The following is a 19118-nucleotide window of genomic DNA, read 5'->3' on the forward strand; positions in this document are numbered from 1 at the left end:
ACTCTGCTTGTCAGTCAATGCTGCACAGGGGGCTCTTCGGTCTGTGGCATTGGGGGCCATAACTTTACGACTATGAATGAACCATTGCCAGGGTTGCTCTGGTCAGGAAACAAGGCAGGTGGCCAGGATCCAGGGCAGTTGGCAGACCCAGACATATCTGGGGTGGTGCATAAACTGAGTTTGCTACAGATCCCCACCTCCTACTTTATACAAAAATAAATTCTGGGGCATTAAAGACCTATTTTTTTTTAAAGAAAAATGAACAATTAAAATACTAGAAAAAATAAGATACCTTATTCGTGGGTAGGAAAGACTTTCCTAAACAAGACACAAAAAGCAAAATCTTAAGGAAACACCTTATCAATTTGATTGCTCTAAGAATTACACTTTGTGTAAGTCAGTTGTTCTCAGCTGGGGCAATTTTGTACCTCAGAGGATATTTGACAATACCTGGAGACATTCGGGTTGCCAAACTCAGAAGGGGAGGCAGGGTCTGACTGGCATCTAATAGATAGAGGCCAAGTATGCTTCCAAAAATCCTACAACACACAGGGCAGACCCCACCCCACCCAGTGAAAGAATTATTCAGCCCCAAAGTCAGTAGTGCCAAGGTTAAGAAACCCAATCATAACAGTTAATAAACAAGTTAAAGACTGAGAGAAGTTGTTTGGCATATATATCCCAGATAAAAGATCAGACTCTAATAGAAAGAGAGACTTACAAATCAATAAGAAAAAGTCTCAACAGAAAAATGAGTATCATTTTTCATCTTTTCAACTGGTAGCAAAAAAATAAATCCATTACTATCAAGTGATAAAGAGAACATAGAAGATTCTCATATTCTGCTGGCAACGGTGTTAACAAGTAGAGTTACCCAGTATGGAAAGTTGTTTGACAGCGTCTATTAAGATATGAAATGTCCATGTCCCCCCAATAGCATATCAGGAAAAGCGCTGTGTACCTTTTTGGGGTCTGCTTCTTAGAACACCACCAACATGAGCTCCTCTATGCATTCCTCTTTACTTAGGATAGAATTTGGAACTACCTTCCACCTAGCTTCAACCCTGCAGACATGACTAAAACATGATCTATGGCCATGTGAATGGAGCCAATGTTCCTCTTCAACTGCTCACATTGGGACTATTCCATGAGAGAACATAAACTACTTTGTTTAATCAGCTATATTTGGGGGTCTCTTTGCTGAAATAGCTTGTTCCTTCCCTGTTAGTATTAGTACACAATTGTATTAGTACACAATTCAGTGACAAGTATACCTTGTGGTTAGAGAATTAGAACATTCCCCTCTGTGGAGGGCAGCGGAGCTAAAGGTTGAGTTCATCATCAATGGCCAGTGATTTAATCAATCAAACCTATGTAACAAAACTTCCACAAAGACCCAAAAGGGCAGGGTTTGGAGATCTTCCAGGTTGCTGACCTCACAGAGGTGCCTGGAAGGTGGCACTCCCTAAAAGGGCATGGAAGCGCCATACCCTTCCCACATACCATGCCCCGTGTTTCTCTTCCAACTGGCTGCTCATCTGTATGCTTTATCATATGTTTATTAATATAACATCTGGTAAACATAAGTGTTTCCCTGAGTTCCATGAGCCACACTAGCAAGTGAACAAACCTGAAGAGGGGGTTGTGGAAACCCCCAATTTATAGCCAGTCAGTCAGATGTTCTAGAGGCTAGGAATTGCAGTTGGCATTTTCAAATGGCAGGTAGTCTCATAGGACTGAGCCCTTCACCTGTGGGATCTGACTCTGACTACAGGTAGACAGTGTCAGAATTAAATTGAATGACAGAACACCCCCTTGGAGTCCAGTGGAGAACTGCTTGGTGTGTGGGGAAACTTCACGCACATCCGGAGTGAGAAGTGAAGCAGGATGCGCTGTGTTGAGTAGGATGTGTTGTGAGAGTAGGAAAAACACTGTCTTTTTTCTATCCCTTACAGTGGTCAAAGAACTCTCTGTGATGTTTTTCTTTTAAATAAGAGAAAGTATTCACACAGTGTGCAATTTTTTTTTATTTTACTTTAAGTTGTGGGATACATGTGCAGAACACGCAGATTTGTTATATAGGTATACATGTGCCATGGTGGTTTGCTGCACCTATCAACCCATCATCTAGGTTTTAAGCCCCACATGCATTAGGTATTTGTCCTAATGCTCTCCCTCCCCTTGTCCCCCATCCCCTGACAGGCCCTGGTGTGTGATGTTCCCCTCTCTGTGTCCATGTGTTCTCATTGTTCAACTCCCACTTATGAGTGAGAACATGTGGTGTTTGGTTTTCTATTCCTGTGTTAGTTTGCTGAGAATGATGGTTTCCAGCTTCATCCATGTCCATGCAAAGGACATGAACCTATTCTTTTTTATGGCTGCATAGTATTCGATGGTGTATATGTGCCACATTTTCTTTATCTAGTCTATCATTGATGGGCATTTGGGTTGGTTCCAAGTCTTTGCTACTGTAAATAGTGCTGCAATAAACATACATGTCCATTTGTCTTTAGAGTAGAATTATTTATAATCCTTTGGGTATATACCCAGTAATGGGATTGCTGGGTCAAATGGTATTTCTGGTTCTAGATCTTTGAGGAATCGCCACGCTGTCTTCCACAATAGTTGAACTAATTTACATTCCTACCAAGAGTGTAAAAGTGTTCCTGTTTCTCCACAGCCTCACCAGCATCTGTTGTTTCCTGACTTTTTAATAATCACCATTCTGACTGGTGTGAGATGGTATCTCATTGTGGTTTTGTGCAATTTTTAAAACTTCTTTAAAACAATTGATGAATATTTTGTTGCTAAAGTACATTCAAGAAATGGTAAGTTCAATTAATAAGAGTCCCATGCAAGACAACTAAGGCTGCACGCTCCTGGTGGGCCCAGGTCTGCAGGCCTGTTCCAGTGTCTATTTGCTGTGGGACTTTAGACCAATTGCATCATCTCTGAGGTTAAGTTTCTTCAGGTAGATAACATAAGGGCAATCATGCCTCATTCACCTGGCTGTTGTGAGGAATAAAAGACATAATGTATGTGAAATTCTTAGAATGGTGCCTGGCATTTTGGAAGCACATAATACACAAAAGTAATTATTATTAGTAGTAATATTAGTATTAGTATTATTAAAATATGTGTAAAAATCTCTCTATTCTAATTAACATATTTTTCAAAATAGAAATGAAAAAGTTAGATAGCTGATGAGGGAAAGAATAAGACAAAACTCAGCTCCATTTACTATGTATGTATTGAGTGCCTATTATATACTAGACGTTAAGATACAAAGATGTGTAGGACCTAGTCCCCTGCCTTTAAAAAGCTCAGAGTCTAATTGTGATGATAGATTAAACTAAACCTCTAAATATGATGTAGAACCTCTAATCTGTGCAACAAGAGGAGTAGAACAAAGAAACTAGCAATTCCTTCTTCAGCTGGTTGGAGAAACTGGACTAGGAAGGCTTCAAAGGGAAGCTGACATTAACCATGAAGTTCTGGCAGCAGGAAAAGCCATGTACCAAGGACAGTTCAGGCAAAAATGGAGCCACCACATTTGTGGGGATCTATTAATAGATGTGAAAGTAAAAGGGATGACAGACCAGACTCCAGAAGCATCTGAGGCCAAAAACAGGAGGAACTTTGAATGCCAGGGTGCAGAACTTCACCCTGGCAGCAGTGTGTGGATATGAAGGGAGTAGGCTGAAAGAGGAGGAGTCAGCTCATGAACACAGCAAGAGCAAGGGGTTACAGAAGACAGGCTGTGGAGGAGGCAAAATCCACAGTCATTGATGATGCATGGTACATGGGGGAAGAAAGAAAAAGAGGACTGAAGATGGTTGTCAGGCTTCCAGCTGGCGCAACTGGTTGAGCCTCTGAAATACAGAGTTCAGGAGAGAGCTGTGCAATGGGTGGGTTCATAAGGCTGATATTATAACAAGCCAGCCAATTCCTGTGCTGCCAGGCCTGAGGGTGTGAACGGTTGGTGGCGTTGCCAGATCCTGCAGGGTGATCTGATGGGCAAGATTAGGAAGAAGCTAGAGGTAGGGAAAGGCAACTGCTAGCCTTCTGCTCTCCACAGAACCCTGGAAAATGGCATCCACCAGCCAGTGATCACGTGCTTCAATATGCCCTAGAATGGCCCAGCCCCACATCTGACTCATCATCTTTCGCAAGCATTTCTATTTAAATCTTCCAGGCCACAAGTGCTGCAGACACAAAGGATGGAAGTATGTAATCCTGTATTAGAATCCCTGGTATCTGTGTGCTTAATCTTTCATATTTTCAATTAAATCATGAGGAAATAATTGTGCAAACCATAAATTCACCATCCACAGGGAAGTGATTCATTTATTATCCTTGAGAGGTTTGTAGCAGGGCATCTAAAAGCTTTAGATAAGGAGCTAATTTAATTTTGGTTCTCCTTTTGCTAAGATTTCTTACTCTGGGGTAATATATACAAAATAGGAAAAACATGTGAGGTCCGTAGGTCAAGAATATTAGCATGATTATTAATAACCAGAAATGTGACTTTCATACTGTTTTACTTCTTCAGTCTCCAAAGTTCTTTCTCACCTACTATGTCAATTCTTCTTAAAGGTAACATAAATAAAGCAAAAATTCCAAAAATGAAGTAGCTAATTTATGAGGGAAGCAAACTGTACTTTGGGAAGAGTCTTACCTTCAAATGTAGATATTGCCAAGCTTACAATACTTTGAATCATAGAATTCTTTTGCTGAAGGAAATCATTCCAGAGAACTTGGCTTGTTTGGGAGGTGAAACAGCGAACGCGCAGAGCAGATTGATAGCTTGAGGACACTCCCAGTTGGTCAGGAAAGGTGCAGGGACCAGAACCCGGGTTTCCTACCCTCAATCCAGCATTCTCCCCTCCACCCCTTACTGCTTCCCTAGCTGTCACTTACTCATTCTTTCAAAAATCAGATTTCAAACTTCAAACTAAAAATGGTATCTGAATTGTAATTATCTATATTTGAGTCCATCTCTCTTATTCCATCTCTCCCTAGTGACTTTAACCTCTTCCCTCGCTGTTTTTTTCTCAAATTCATAAGCCTACCACCCTTGAAAAAAAGCATCCCTTTGATCACGCGTCCCTCTCAGGTTGCCTCCTCCCCTTCTTCCCTTCAAGCCCAGCTTTTAGAAAGAATGTCTACCCTCCTGAACGCCTCTTCCTTCCCTCCCCTTCACTCCTCAGCTCACTGCCATCTGGAGTCTGTAGCTGCCACTCCACCAAACTGTTCTCACTGAAGCCTCAGACCTGGCACAACTCAAGGACCTTGCTCTTTTTGGACATCTGTACTACATGGAACGGTGTTGATCACTCCTTTCTTTTGGAAACACTCATTCCCTAACTACTGTGATATCAGCTCTTTGGTGTTTCTTTCCTTCTCAGTCTCCCTAATTGACACTTCACTTTTATGAGCCAGTGAAGCCATGAGGGTCATGGGTTGACAAATCTGGCAGGGGCAGAAGAGAGGCACAACTCTCCCAGATACGGCTCCCCCCAAAACCTTGCATCCACCACCCCAAATCAGAAATTTCATTTTCCTTCTTTCAGTTATTCATCCAACAAATATTTATCAAGTACCAACCGTGTGCCAAATAATGTACACAACGCATGGGGATACAGACATGAGAGAGGTAAGGGCTTACTTAGCCTCTGCCTTCAGTCCGCACCTGCCTCCCATCCACTCCTCTCCAACCCATCCACCTTTCGGAAAGATGCAGCTAAGCATGCATTCCCCTTTGATTAAATCCTCCAGTGGTTCTCTTATCAAACCCAGTGCCTCAGCGTGCCATATAACTGGTACTAACCTATCTTTCTAACCAAAGCTCTCACCACTCTCCCCAGGGAGCACTCCAGCCTCACAGAACATCTTTGCAATTTCCCCAGATGTACCTATCCTGCCTGTCTGTATGCCTTTACATACGCCGTCTCCTTTCTCCAGAACATGTCTCACTTACCTTCTTTGTGTGGAAATATTCTCCATGTCCCCCAAAGACAGCAAAAATTTCATCTCACCTCTCACACCTTGTCGACTGCCCTGCCCATTGTTCTCATAAATCATTGAACACGCTTTTGCTACAGCACTTAGCGCTCTGTACTATTTTCTCACGTCAGCCTTTCCAGCAGACTGTGAGCTCTAAGGAAAAACAGCATATTGTTTACCTTTGTACAAGCCTCCCGCCTAGCAAAGGCTCTGCTAGATGGTTAGCAGGCATCCGCAAAAACTTTCTGAATTAATTATTCTCAGTGGTACCACGAACACTTGGTGCTTGTGCATCCCCATCAGCATTTCATATTTTCTGGGTTGATTTCATGTTCTTTACAATTGACTACATGTCATTACTTCTTTCTATTCTGTTTATGCACTTCAAGTGGAAAAGACAAAACCCGACCTCTTTTCTTATCCCTCAGGCTCCTCTTTATTAAGTTGAAACCGAAAATATTAAACCACAAAAAAGACTTGGTTCAAGGCCTTCCTCCTGTAGACAGCAAAGAGGTCAGATTTCCTTTCAATGGATTTGATTTATTCCTTCATAATGGAATAAAAATTAACTTCAGGGAAACAGTACATGCAGCCAGAGGTAATTCAATCACTAATGAATGAGATATTACATAACACAATAGGCTAATTGGCTATTCTTGATTTAAAAGGCACAGCCTCTATATTTTATAATGTTTGGTTTCCTTCTTTTCTTTCCAACCTTGTCACTGTTGTAGTAATTACTGCATAGCCCTCTTAGGAAACCGTGCCTTCCGCTCATCCCATTCCTGCCCTTTTAGATGCGCCTCGCCCACCCACCCCGGACTTCTTTGGGACTGAATTGAAAAAATCACCGCACAAAAATGCCGGTACATGCCCGACCTCCAGGATACTCCCAGGCCCGCGCAGCCGGCCCTTCCAGCTACCTCTCCCACTCGGCTTTCCAGATTCTCCTCGCTCCCGCTTGTGGTTTGTGCCGCGGGCCCCTCACTTTCTTAGTAACACGGATGATGACTCCATTGGGACTTAGTGACCAGCTGATCTTGGCATCCCGCCGGCAGGGGGCCTCCAGATCTGCCTTGCGCTCGTCCAGTGCAGCCAGAGGCCGGGCCTGCTCCTAGGAGAACTGCCTGGAGCAGGAGCCTCAGGAAGGGGAGGGGACTGGTGGGGCACCGGCACGGTCTCGTACCTGGCCTTTTTCTGGGTTTTAGAGACGGGGTCTCATTGTGTTACTCAGAGTGGATTCTAACTCCTGGGCTCAAGCGGCCCTCCTGCCTCAGCCTTCCGAGAGCAGCTGGGACTACAGGCGTGGCACCAGTCTTCACTGGACCCTCCTTCCTCAGCCCTCAAATCTCTGCATCATAAAGGTCCGCCCAGCCCTCGCCCAGGTGCCTCCTCCCAGCCTCCCTTCTCACTGAACCAAGGCCTCCGAGGAGGACGCCCCTCGCCCTCCTCAGAGTGGCAGGCAGCCTGTGTGTGCCCCTCACTGTCCCCCTCCTCTCCCTCACAGTTCTTCCACCCACCACCACAGACCGTCGTGTGAAACCCCTGCACCGTCGACGGTCCCGTGTCTGACCGCTTACCCACCCCTTGTTGTTACATTCCCCCGTGCTGCTCACCCCTCACCCCTTAAAGACTTTAAGGTATCTGGGTCACTAGAAATTGTCATCACCCCAAACTGTTTCCTGTCAGCTTTATGATTCAAAATCTGTCTGGCCCAAGGCTTCCCTTCCAATTTATTTGCCAATCATTCCCAGCCCTTTGTTCGAATTCCTTGGGACCGCCCTGTCCATCGACCACTAACTACACTTCTCTATGCCTCCACCTCCTCCTTTCCCCTAACTCGGAGTCAATGGCTCTAACCAGAGTCCCTCCAAAGCACTCTCAGTCTCCCTCCCCTCTGCTCTCAGCACTTACCCGGTTCCACTCTGGGCCAATCAGGCACCCGGCTTTGTGCTCACACGTTGGATAATATCAGTGCTGCTGGAGAAAATCCAGTGTGGTGGAGCAGGACTCTCCTTCCTGCCACCGGCTTCTTTTCCTCCTCTCCTTCCCCTGGTGACCTCCGAGGAGGAGTGTGAGGCAGGTTCGGTTCTGGGTCCTCGTCTTACCTGATGTGGCCCCGGCCCATCCCATTCCCCATGTTTTCCTCCCACTTTGCTGGCTTCTGCTTCTCAGCACCTCCACGGCTCCCTCCTCATCTCTGGCCGTTTCCTAGAGGGGCCAGCCTTCATCCCCTCCTTATCTATCCTCACTCCTTAGAGAATCATCTGACCGCATGGTTTTCAACACCATCTAAATGCCGATAACTGTCAAATGTGTGTGTCTACTAGCCTGGACCCCTCCCTGGATTCCAGAACTTCCTACTTGAACTTTCAACCTGGATATTTCATGAGCATCTTAACGTTCATGTGTCCAAACCCAATTATCCATTTCCCACTCTGCCCACCTTGTTATTCATGCTACCTTCCCATCTCAAAAGCAACTTCGTCATTCTGTCTTTCTTGGGTCAAACAATTACAGTCATCCTTGACTCAACAGCTTTTTTTTTCTTCTTCTTTTTTTTTTTTTTTTTTAAGACATCGTCTTGCTCTGTTGCCCAGGCTGGAGTGCAGCGGCACTATCTCGGCTCACTGCAACACCTGCCTCCCAGGTTCAAGTGATTCTCCTGCCTCAGCCTCCAGAGTAGCTGGGATTACAGACACCCACCACCACACCTGGCTGATTTTTGTATTTTTAGTAGAGATGGGGGTGTCACCATATTGGCCAGGCTGGCCTTGGACTCCTGACCTCAAGTGATCTGTCCGCCTCGGCCTAACAGCTTCTCTTAAACCTCTACCTAATTGGTCAGCAAATCCCGTCATCTCTCCCTCCTGGCCTCCTCCACTTGGGAGGGCACTGGGAAACACTGTCCTTGTATTTATAGTCCTTCAATCCCAACCATTACTAACATCATGTGTAGACAGTGGTCAGAATGAAGCCAGACTGCAGTGGTTCTCAACCTTGGCAGCAGTTGGAATCACCTGGGGGAATTTTAAAAATACTGGTGCCTGTGTCCCACCCCAGAGATTCTGCTTTAATTGGTCTGGGATATGACCTGAGAGTTTTAAAAGCTAACCCCAGCTCCCGCCCAGGTGGTTCTAATGTTCAGCCAAGTTTTCAAACAGCTGTGCTAGGGCTTAAAAAAGACCCAGTGAAAATCATTAGCGTTAATCAGTGCTTAAATGTCAAGTAGATTTTGGTATCACACACTAAAAAACTTTCCAAAATATTAAAGTAAACAATACAGACAGTCCCCAACTTAGTGACGGTTTGATTTACGATTTTCAGCTTCATGATTGGTTTATTGGGGTATTAAATGCGTTTTTGGCTTATGCTATTTTCGACTTACTATGGGTTTATCAGGATGTGACATGACCCCATCATAAGTCATGAAACATCTTGCAGTTAAAACTGGGAGATTATATAAGTACACCCTCGTCTCTTTGAATGAGCCTTATAATTTTAATCTTCACTTTGATAATTTTTTCTCATTTTAATAAAATATTTTAGTTTTCAATATTGATCATTTAGTGAGAAAATCCCAGCACTGCCTAAAATATTGGGCAGAATATCACTATCTCAGCTCCATTTTACATCCTCTGTGTTTTTCTTTTCTTTTTGTGGGGAGGGGATGGGGTCTCACTCTGTTGCCCAGGCTGCAGTGCAGTGATGCCCTCTCAGCTCACTGTAACCTCTACCTCCTGGGCTCAAGTGATCCTCCTGCCTCTGCCTCCCAGCCTGTAGCTTGGGACTACAGGCATGCACCACCACACCTGGTTAATTTTTGCTCCTTTTTTTGTAGAGATGAGGTCTTACTATGTTCCCAGGCTGGTCTCAAACTCCTAGGTTCAAGCAGTTCTCTGACCGTGGCCTTCTAAAGTGCTAGAGTCATAGGCATGAGCCACTGCGCCTGGCCCGCTGTGTTTTCTTTTCAAGCACAGTAATTTTTTCTGTGAATTTTGGGGAAACTGAGCTGAGAAGCTCACCTCTGTTTTTGGCAATGTTGAAGGAGTTTAACAGATTAATGAGGCCAGTTTTATCACCTTAATTTTCTTTTTAAATTTTCTAGCACTTTTCCTCCAGAGGCATTCATGGGGGGTCATCACGTCACAGTTTTTTCATGATACGTTAACAAGCAGGGGAGAAAGAGACAATTGGTAAGTAAAGAACGATATCTAAAAGCAACTCACAGAGTCGGGGGTGAAAGGACAGGGGAGAGGAGAGGCATCAAAGGGCCTGCAGCGAGGGGCGCCTCTTCTCAGTTCCTACCGCCGGGAGAGAGCTGGGAGAATAGACAGCTGGCTCATCATGAAGGGTCACCCACATCACCGCAGCAGAACCCAGCTTTTCCCTTCCACGTCCTGATTCCTACTTTTCTCAGCTCAAAATTTCTATTTCCACCTGTTTACTAGAATTGAAGGAAATTCCTGATTAACCTAAAAAACACAGTTTGGGTTGCCTGATTTTCCTATTAACTTCTTCCTCTGATGTGTATTGTTCCAGAGAGACAGCATGCAAACTGTGTTCATCTGAAACCCAAAGTTTATTTATTTTAAAACGTGTCAGCCAGTGTGTCACACAAATCAATAAAAATAACTCTTGTAAAAAAAGAAATCCCTAAAAGGGAATGGAGTCAGAAATTTTGTGGTGCGTTTTATTACTTGTTTATTTTTGCTCTCATTTTACCACTCTTGTATTTCAAGCTTGAATTATGATTATACTTCTGAAATAATTTTAAGCAAACAAAAATATTCATCACACTATGAAAACAAATATCCAAAAATATGCTCTATGGTCACAATTTTTGTATCTGAACATTTACCTACGACTCTGTATATGAACAGTGATACTTGTTTTTCAATCATTTCTTATTTGACTTGTAAAACAGAATTTTTCTATTTTTGGAAAATATCTTAAAAATTAAGAACAAGCCCTTCTCCTCAGTGCTACACATAAAGGACCTTATTTGTCACCTTCTGTCCTGGAATGACAGGACAGGTCGACCCTAATTTCACTCCTCTAAACAAGGTAATGATGGCTTGTGCAGGAAATCTAAATCTGGCCTCAGAGGCAGCCCAGTGATTTTCCAGGTCAAGGGAAAGGGAGAAAGCAAAGATCTGAAGCTCTGTCCTCCTCTCCTGGGTATCTGCCGTCCACAGAGCTGGGGGAAGTCTGCCATCTAGTGGAAAGTAGAGGGCACTGACAGTTACTTGCAATAGTGGTTTCCCAGGACCGCTTGAGCATCAAGCGTTTCTGATCCGGGGGCATAGCTTCCATCAGGGACAGGGTGGACTAGCAGAAGAATATTCAACAACAACAAGTAACATTCAAACCCAATACACAAATGTTTCTTTATATATATAAACTACACATAGTGCCCTATACAAAGTGCTTCTTCATAAAGTAGTGCCAGGTGAAGTGCTAAGTGTTTTAGTTAATAAATCTCATCTCATTTCTACAGTGATTATCAATGTATTCTGCATGATTTTTCCTATACAATGGCAAAAACACAGGGTGGGAAGTATACTTAATCCCTAACACAGTGATTACCATTATACTTTTAAAATTGCTGTACAGAGAATATTTTCCATCGGTTCAGATCCATACAATAATCGATTTCAGTTTATGCTTGTCTTTTGACAACAATTGACATATTCAGGTAACAACATTAAGGGGGCTGGGGGACAGACCAAGTTACTCAGATATATTTGTGCTCTCTCCTTTTGATTTCATTTGATTTCATTTGTTACACTGTTCCAATTTGCTTTAAGTGATTGTTTTTAATTATATTAAAGTAGCACATGCCATGCATATATTTAAAAGCATGGTCTCCTCTTCCGCCCCTTCCCACCTCTAGTCTTGGTCCCTAGAGGTAATGACCTGCAGTTCTGTTAGTTGCTTCTTTTCGTATTTTCCTCCATAATCTCTAAATAAAACGCTCTGCTTCTATTTCCTTGTCTGTCTGTGGTGGATTGACTGCCTTAGTTTGGGTTCTTTCAGAGGCAGATCCTGAAATGGATGATTCAAGGACAGGATGGGAAAGTAAGATGAGGAGAAGGCCATCAGTAAAGGGCAAATCATCACACCAGCTGCCACCATAGGCACCTGCACCAGACCCAGTGTAGAAATGGGAGCCAGTGCGAAACAGAGCTCACGACCACTGGTTTAGAGCTGCTCCTGTCACATGGGCAGCAAGTAAGCTCCAGCACCAAGAGCAACACCAAAGCAGATGCTGGCAATTGCACACAGAGCTGCCTTGTGCAGCCGTGGTCAGGGCCAGGTGTGTGGGCAGGGAACTGCCAGTGTCTGCTACAGCCATCTCACCTGTCGGGTACCCAGGTAAGCAAGAGCCTTGCACACCCCCACCTTCCTCATCCTTCCCTTTTCACCCCACCTCCTCTCTCCTACTGCTCAGCTTCTGATTACATTTGCTTCCTTGTTTACATTCTTCTATAGCTATATTTAGGCCTACAGTTTGATTTTGAAAGCACATTGATGATGTGACTTTGCAGTATTTTTCACTGCCGAGCTAGTGTTCACTATAATTACATTTCTTTTTTTTTTTTTTTGAGACAGGGTCTCGCTCTGTTGCCCAGGCTGGAGTGCAGTGGCACAATCACAGCTCACTGCAGCCTGACCTCCCAGGCTCAAGCAATCCTCCCACCTTAGCTGCTCTCCCCTCAATAGCTGGGACTACAAGCACAGGCCACCATGCCCAGCTAATTTTTATATTTTTCGTACAGATGGGGTTTTGCTACGTTACCAAGGCTGGTCTCAAACTCCTAGCCTCAAGCGATCTGCCCACTTCAGCTTCTCAAAGTGCTGGGATTATATAGGCATGAGCCGCCACACCCAGCCACATTTCGTTTATATTAGAGCTTTTTAATTTTTCCTGAAGTTATTAACTGCCTTTTAATTTTCTTGCACCTTTTGCCCTTGTTTCACATTAGTGTTTTTCCTTGACCTCTTCTGCCAATTAGGGATCAAGTGTTCCATGGAGACTCTTTCTTTTTTTATTATTATTATTTTTTTTTTTTTAATTTTTTTTAAGTGGAGTCTCACTCTGTCACCCAGGCTGGCATGCAGTGGCGCAATCTCAGCTCACTGCAACCTCCACCTCCTGGGTTCAAGCGACTCTCGTGCCTCAGCCTCCCAAGTAGCTGGGATTCCAGGCATGTGCCACCACACCCAGCTAATTTTTGTGTTTTTATTAGAGATGGGGTTTCACCATGTTGGCCAGGATGGTCTCCATCTCCTGACCTTGTGATCCGCCCACCTCAGCCTCCCAAAGTGCTGGGATTACAGGTGTGAGCCACAGTGCCCAGCCCCATGGAGACCCTTTCTATGTAGAGTTTCTCTGCAGGGCCTTGTCTCATACTGTGGAATGTTCCTACAAGGGAATACTACTCTGCAAAACAAAGAATAAATTATTGAGACATGCAACAACACAGATAACTCTGATTGACTTTGCAGAGTGAAAAGCTAGACATTTACATAAAATTCTATGAAATACAAATGAATCTACAGTGATAGAAAGAAAGAAATCAGGCTGGGTGCGGTGGCTCACGCCTGTAATCCCAGCACTTTGGGAGGCCGAGGTGGACAGATCACGAGGTCAGGAGTTCGAGAGCAGCCTGGCCAATATGGTGAAACCCTGTCTCTACCAAAAATACAAAAATTAGCCAGGCATGGTGGCACGCTCCTGTAGTCCCAGCTACTCAGGAGGCTGAGACAGAAGAATCACTTGAACCCAGGAGGCTGAGGTTGCAGTGAGCCGAGATCACACCACTGCACTCCAGCCTGGGCAACAGGGCGAGATTCCGTCTCAAAAAAAAAAAAGAAAGAAAGCAATCAGTGGTTTCTTGATGTACTCAGAAACTGGTATGTTCACCATCTTTTGTTCATGGGTATGTACATATGTCAAAGCTTATGAAATTATATAATTTAAACATGTGCAGTTTATTGTGATTAATTATAATAAATCCAGTTACACTCAATAAAGTGTTGATGATGTCAATGGTACCATGAATAAAATAGAAAGATTATTAGTTAATGCTATGTGAATAAAATAGAAAGAACATTGTTGAACAAACCATTTGACCAATGAATGTTTCTCACTGCCTTATAAAAAGAGTAAGTGAATTATTAAGGCTTAGCAAAGTAAAGAAAGTCTCCCACAGTCTCTGATTGGAATTCCATAAAACAATAGTCGTACATTTTTACTAGACAAAGAAAACATACATATAAAATAGCTAACTTTTCAAACTCCAGCAAAAGTCTCCATTCATTTACTTTTTGTTCGCCTTAATATAGCTTTATTACCTTATAGAACATTTCCCTATATCTTAAGGGGGAACATCTTTACAAAGAGTAAAGCAGGAAGGGAATAAAATCAGGACAAAAACAAAGATCACTAAAGGATGAGCTTTAAACCATGTTCCTCATCTTCTGGTAGAATTCCACCAGATTCTTCTACTTAGAAACTCAAGCACCCAACTCATCAATTTCACCTCTAATTCTACACTTGCAACTTTATCAGCCATGTCTTCTGAGAGCTTGCACTCATATTCACCAACACATCCAAAACCAAAACAGATTTAGAAACAGCTCTAGACTCCTTGCAGAGAGGGAGTCTCACCTTATCATTCTTTTCAGCATTCCAAGTAATTGTACCCTCTCCCATCCTTCCCATCTCCTCCCCAGGCCATTGAAAAGGGTTGAATTTTAAGTACATAGTTGACCCTTCAACCTGGACACCGTTTATTGAACTGTCTGGTTGTGAAACTGCATTGCCACATATCAATATAGTTGTGGGAACTTGGAGATTCAATAGGTATAACAATCTGTTTATGTTAAAACAAACAAAACAGCCATCTCCTTTTATGTGCAGAGCCTACTGCTGTAAGGCACAAGGCTTACTCCTGAGACAGAGTACCAGGAGACAGGAGGCAATTTGAGAGGCTATAGCAAGATAACTGAGTAAAATACTAACTTGTATTTATGTCCCTATATTTTCCCTTTTTTCTCATTTCAGAGCAGGAGTCAGGCCTTTAGCATTTCCTTCCCTTGGTGATTTTTTAAAGTAGAAATCAGAAGTCACTTTCAATCAAAGTCTTTTCTGTCTTTTGCAAACACTGAAGCTACCTGCAGAGAGGATGACAGGGGCCTCAGAGGGAAGAGGAGAGGGATAATTTTAAGAGCAAAGAGAAAAAGAGGTGGGTCGGAGGTTTGGAAGAAGACAAAGGTTAGTGGGTCCCAAGGCTAAGGGAGATCCACATTCTACTCATCACCATTTCAGAATGGAAAGGCCGGACCCCAGACACAGACACTCCATGTCTTCCCAACTCCTCCCATCCCAAGCATGGCACAACTGCTGGAACCAAGGGACCATGCAGGCTAGAACAAAGGGCGCCTCAGCTGTGAGTGGTGTAGACCATGGCCAGTGTCCAAAGGGGCCAACATCCTAGATCATTGGCACAACACTGAGTGGTTAAGGAGCTGGACTTAAGTTGATTTAAATTAAAAAAGAAAAAACCACATTTTTACCATCCCATTTGCTGCAGTAAGATTGATGTGGGGACCCCCTGCAGTACAGCAAAGACTGGCTGGGTGACACATAGCTACAGAAGGCACTGATTACAGGTGCTGGGATTCAGGCCACTTCATCCTGAGCCCGTGGCTGAGATTGTGTGGTAGAATCGGTGTAATCAGATGAGTGTAAACTCATGCTGACTAGGGAAAACTGGGAGTCTATAATAAGCTTAGGTTCGAAGCGTACTTTAGAAAGCTTTAAAATCCCTGGACAAACCAGCCTCTCTTTCTGGAGTAACAAAATACAAATCACTTGTTTGTTATGGTTATCTTGACTTTGTGGAAGTGAATTTAAAACAGGACATTATCAATGAACACAAAACAAAAAATCAAATAAAAGGATTGTTTCCAACATTGTCAAACTTGTGTAAATTAAAAACAAATAAACAAACCAACCAACCCTGGGCAGATACAAAGTGATCAGAGAAGGAAGTGAGGACAGTGGGAGCCTTGTTAGTTTGCTAAGATTAAAATCCTCTGTAATTCTCAGAAAATATCTAGAAAGATTTTAAGGTTTCTAAGTTAATTCTCTTTTTAAAAATTACAATTCTCCCTGGAGGAGGAGAGGCACAGAGAAGCCAATAGACATGCTACCTGGAGAATGGGCCCACGTGTCCAGGTAGCAGTAAGCTATTCTGTCTGTGATGGACATAACAGTTCCCAGAAACTGAGGTATTTTCCATCATTTCCAGTGATACTACCCCAAGTGTCCCCCACCCCCCGAGGAGAGACATTTGAATCTTATTTAGGGAATACCCCCAAGAAACTGCTGCTATTGCAGAACTAGAAAGCAAGAAATGGAGAAATGAATGATGATGTGGCTCCCTCAGAGTCCCCTCTGCTTCCTGGATTGCTGCCTCCCTGGGCTTCCTCTCCTGCAGCCACACGGGCCTCCTGCAGGTTCCTCCCTCCTGTGGCCACTGCATCTGCTTCCCTCTGCTGCCTGGATGCTCTTTCCAGACTCAGTATAGAGCATTCCTGCACCACCTTCAAACAGCACCTCCTCAATAAGGCCTTCTCTATCAATCTCTGTACAACTGCAGCCCTGGCCACAGCCCCAGCTCTCCCTTCTGCACTTAGCACCATCTGACACACTACATGTTTTACTTAATAGTTTATCATCTGTCTCTCCCCACTAGACAAGAAGTACTGAGTCTTTTGTTCAATGTTGTGACCTCAGCCCACATTGGCTGCTGTATTAGTCCATTTTCACACTGCTGATAAAGACATACCTGAGACTGGGAAGAAAAAGAGGTTTCAATGGACTTACAGTTCCACATGGCAGGGGAGGCCTCAAAATCATGGAGGGAGGCAAAAGGCACTTCTTACATGGCAGCGGCAAGATAAAATGAGGAAGAATCAAAAGTGGAAACCCCTGATAAACCCATCAGATCTTGTGAGACTTATTCACTATCACAAGAAAAGCATGGGAAAGACCTGCCTCCATGATTCAATTATCTCCCCCTGGGTACCTCCCACAACATGTGGGAATTCTGGGAGATATAATTCCAGTTGAGATTTTGGTGGGGACACAGCCAAACCATATCATTCCACCCCTGGCCCTCCAAATCTCATGTCCTCACATTTCAAAACCAATCATGCCTCCACCAGTTCCCCAAAGTCTTAACTCATTTCATCATTAACCCCAAAAGTCCACAGTCCAAAGTCTCATCTGAGACAAAGGAAGTCCCTTCCACCTATGAGCCTGTAAAATCAAAAGCAAGCAGTTACTTCCTAGATACAGTGGGGATACAGTTATTGGGTAAATACAGCCATTCCCAGTGGGAGAAATTGGCCAAAACAAAGGGGTTACAGGGCCCATGCAAGTCCGAAATCCAGCAGGGCAGTCAAATTTTACAGTTCCAAAATGATTTCCTTTGACTCCAGGTCTCACATCCAGGTCATGCTGATGCAAGAGGTGGGTTCCCTTGATCTTGGGCAGCTCTGCCCCTGTGGCTTTGCAGGGTACAGCTTTTCTTCCGGCTGCTTTCATGGGCTCGTGTTGAGTGTCTGCAGCTTTTCCAGGCACACAGTACAAGCCGTCTGTGGATCTACCATTCTGGGGTCTGGAGGATGGTGGCCCTCTTCTCACAGCTCCACTGCGCAGTGTCCTAGTAGGGACACTGTATAGGGGCTCCAACCCCACGTTTCCCTTCTGCACTGCCCTAGCAGAGGTTCTCCATGAGGGCCCAGCCCCTGCAGCAAACTGTTGCCTGGGCATCCAGGCGTTTCCATACATCTTCTGAAATCTAGGTGAAGGTTCCCAAACCTCAGTGCTTGACCTCTTTACACCCACAGGCTCAACACCACATGGAAGCTGCCAAGGCTTGGGATTCCACCCTCTGAAGCCACAGCCTGAGCTGTACATTGACTCTTTTCAGCCACGGCTGGGACACAGGGCACCAAGTCCCTAGGCTGCACACAGCATGGGGACCCTGGGCCTGGCCCACAAAACCACTTTTTCCTCCTGGGCCTCTGGGCCTGTGATGGGAGGGGCTGCCATAAAGTCTCTGACATGGCCTGGAGACATTTTCTCCACGGTCTTGGGGATTAACATTAACAGCTCCTTGCTACTTAAGCAAATTTCTACAGCCAGGTTGAATTTCTCCCCAGAAAATGGATTTTTCCTTTCTGTTGCATAGTCAGGCTGCAAATTTTCCAAACTTTTATGCTGTGCTTCCCTTATAAAACTGAATGCCTTTAACAGTACCCAAGTCACCTCTTGAAGGCTTTGCTGCTTAGAAATTTCTTTTGCCAGATACCCTAAATTATCTCTCTCAAGTTCAAAGATCCACAAATCTCTAGGGCAGGGGCAAAACGCCCCCAGTCTCTTTGCTAAAACATAACAAGAGTCAACTTTGCTCCATTCCTAACAAGGTCCTCATCTCCATCCTAAATCACCTCAGCCTGGATTTTATTGTCCACATTGCTATCAGCATTTTGGGCTAAGCCATTCAACAACTCTCTAGGAAGTTCAGAACTTTCTCACGTTTTCTTGCCTTCTTCTGAGCCCTCCAATCTGTTCCAATCTCTGCCTGTTACCCAGTTCCAAAGTCACTTCCACATTTTCAGGTATCTTTTCAGCAACGCCCCACTTTACGGGTACCAATTTACTGTATTAGTCCATTTTCACATTGCTGATAAAGACATATCCAAGACTGCACAATTTACAAAAGAAGCCTCATAATCATGGCAGAAGGCAAGGAGGAGCAAGTCACATCTTACATGGATGGCAGCAGGCAAAGAGAGAGAGAGTTTGTGCAGGGAAACTCCTGTTTTTAAAACCATCAGATCTCATGAGACTCATTCACTATCATGAGAAGAGTGCAGGAAAGACCCACCCCCATAATTCATTCACCTCCCACCAGTTCCTTCCATGACATGTGGGAATTGTGGGAGTTACAATTCAAGATGGGATTTGGATGGGGATAAAGCCAAGCCATAACAGGTGCCTACTAAATGCACACTGCAAGAACAAATGA

General features: G+C 44.1%; 3 annotated features.

Annotated features, from left to right (window-relative positions):
• Window positions 6731–7232: an enhancer, noted in NCBI's record as "H3K4me1 hESC enhancer chr1:108663847-108664348 (GRCh37/hg19 assembly coordinates)". NCBI's record gives its function as "activates a minimal SCP1, AML or CMV promoter by ChIP-STARR-seq in primed H9 embryonic stem cells {active_cell/tissue: H9 hESC(primed)}" and the evidence as "EXISTENCE:reporter gene assay evidence [ECO:0000049][PMID:30033119]".
• Window positions 7233–7732: an enhancer, noted in NCBI's record as "H3K4me1 hESC enhancer chr1:108664349-108664848 (GRCh37/hg19 assembly coordinates)". NCBI's record gives its function as "activates a minimal SCP1, AML or CMV promoter by ChIP-STARR-seq in primed H9 embryonic stem cells {active_cell/tissue: H9 hESC(primed)}" and the evidence as "EXISTENCE:reporter gene assay evidence [ECO:0000049][PMID:30033119]".
• Window positions 11236–11375: a silencer, noted in NCBI's record as "fragment chr1:108668352-108668491 (GRCh37/hg19 assembly coordinates)". NCBI's record gives its function as "represses an EF-1alpha promoter that drives an FKBP-Casp9 reporter gene in an ReSE screen in phorbol 12-myristate 13-acetate-treated (for megakaryocytic differentiation) K562 erythroleukemia cells {active_cell/tissue: K562(+PMA)}" and the evidence as "EXISTENCE:reporter gene assay evidence [ECO:0000049][PMID:32094911]".

This window comes from Homo sapiens, chromosome 1, assembly GCF_000001405.40.
Source record: "Homo sapiens chromosome 1, GRCh38.p14 Primary Assembly".
NCBI classification, from domain to species: Eukaryota; Metazoa; Chordata; class Mammalia; order Primates; family Hominidae; genus Homo; species Homo sapiens.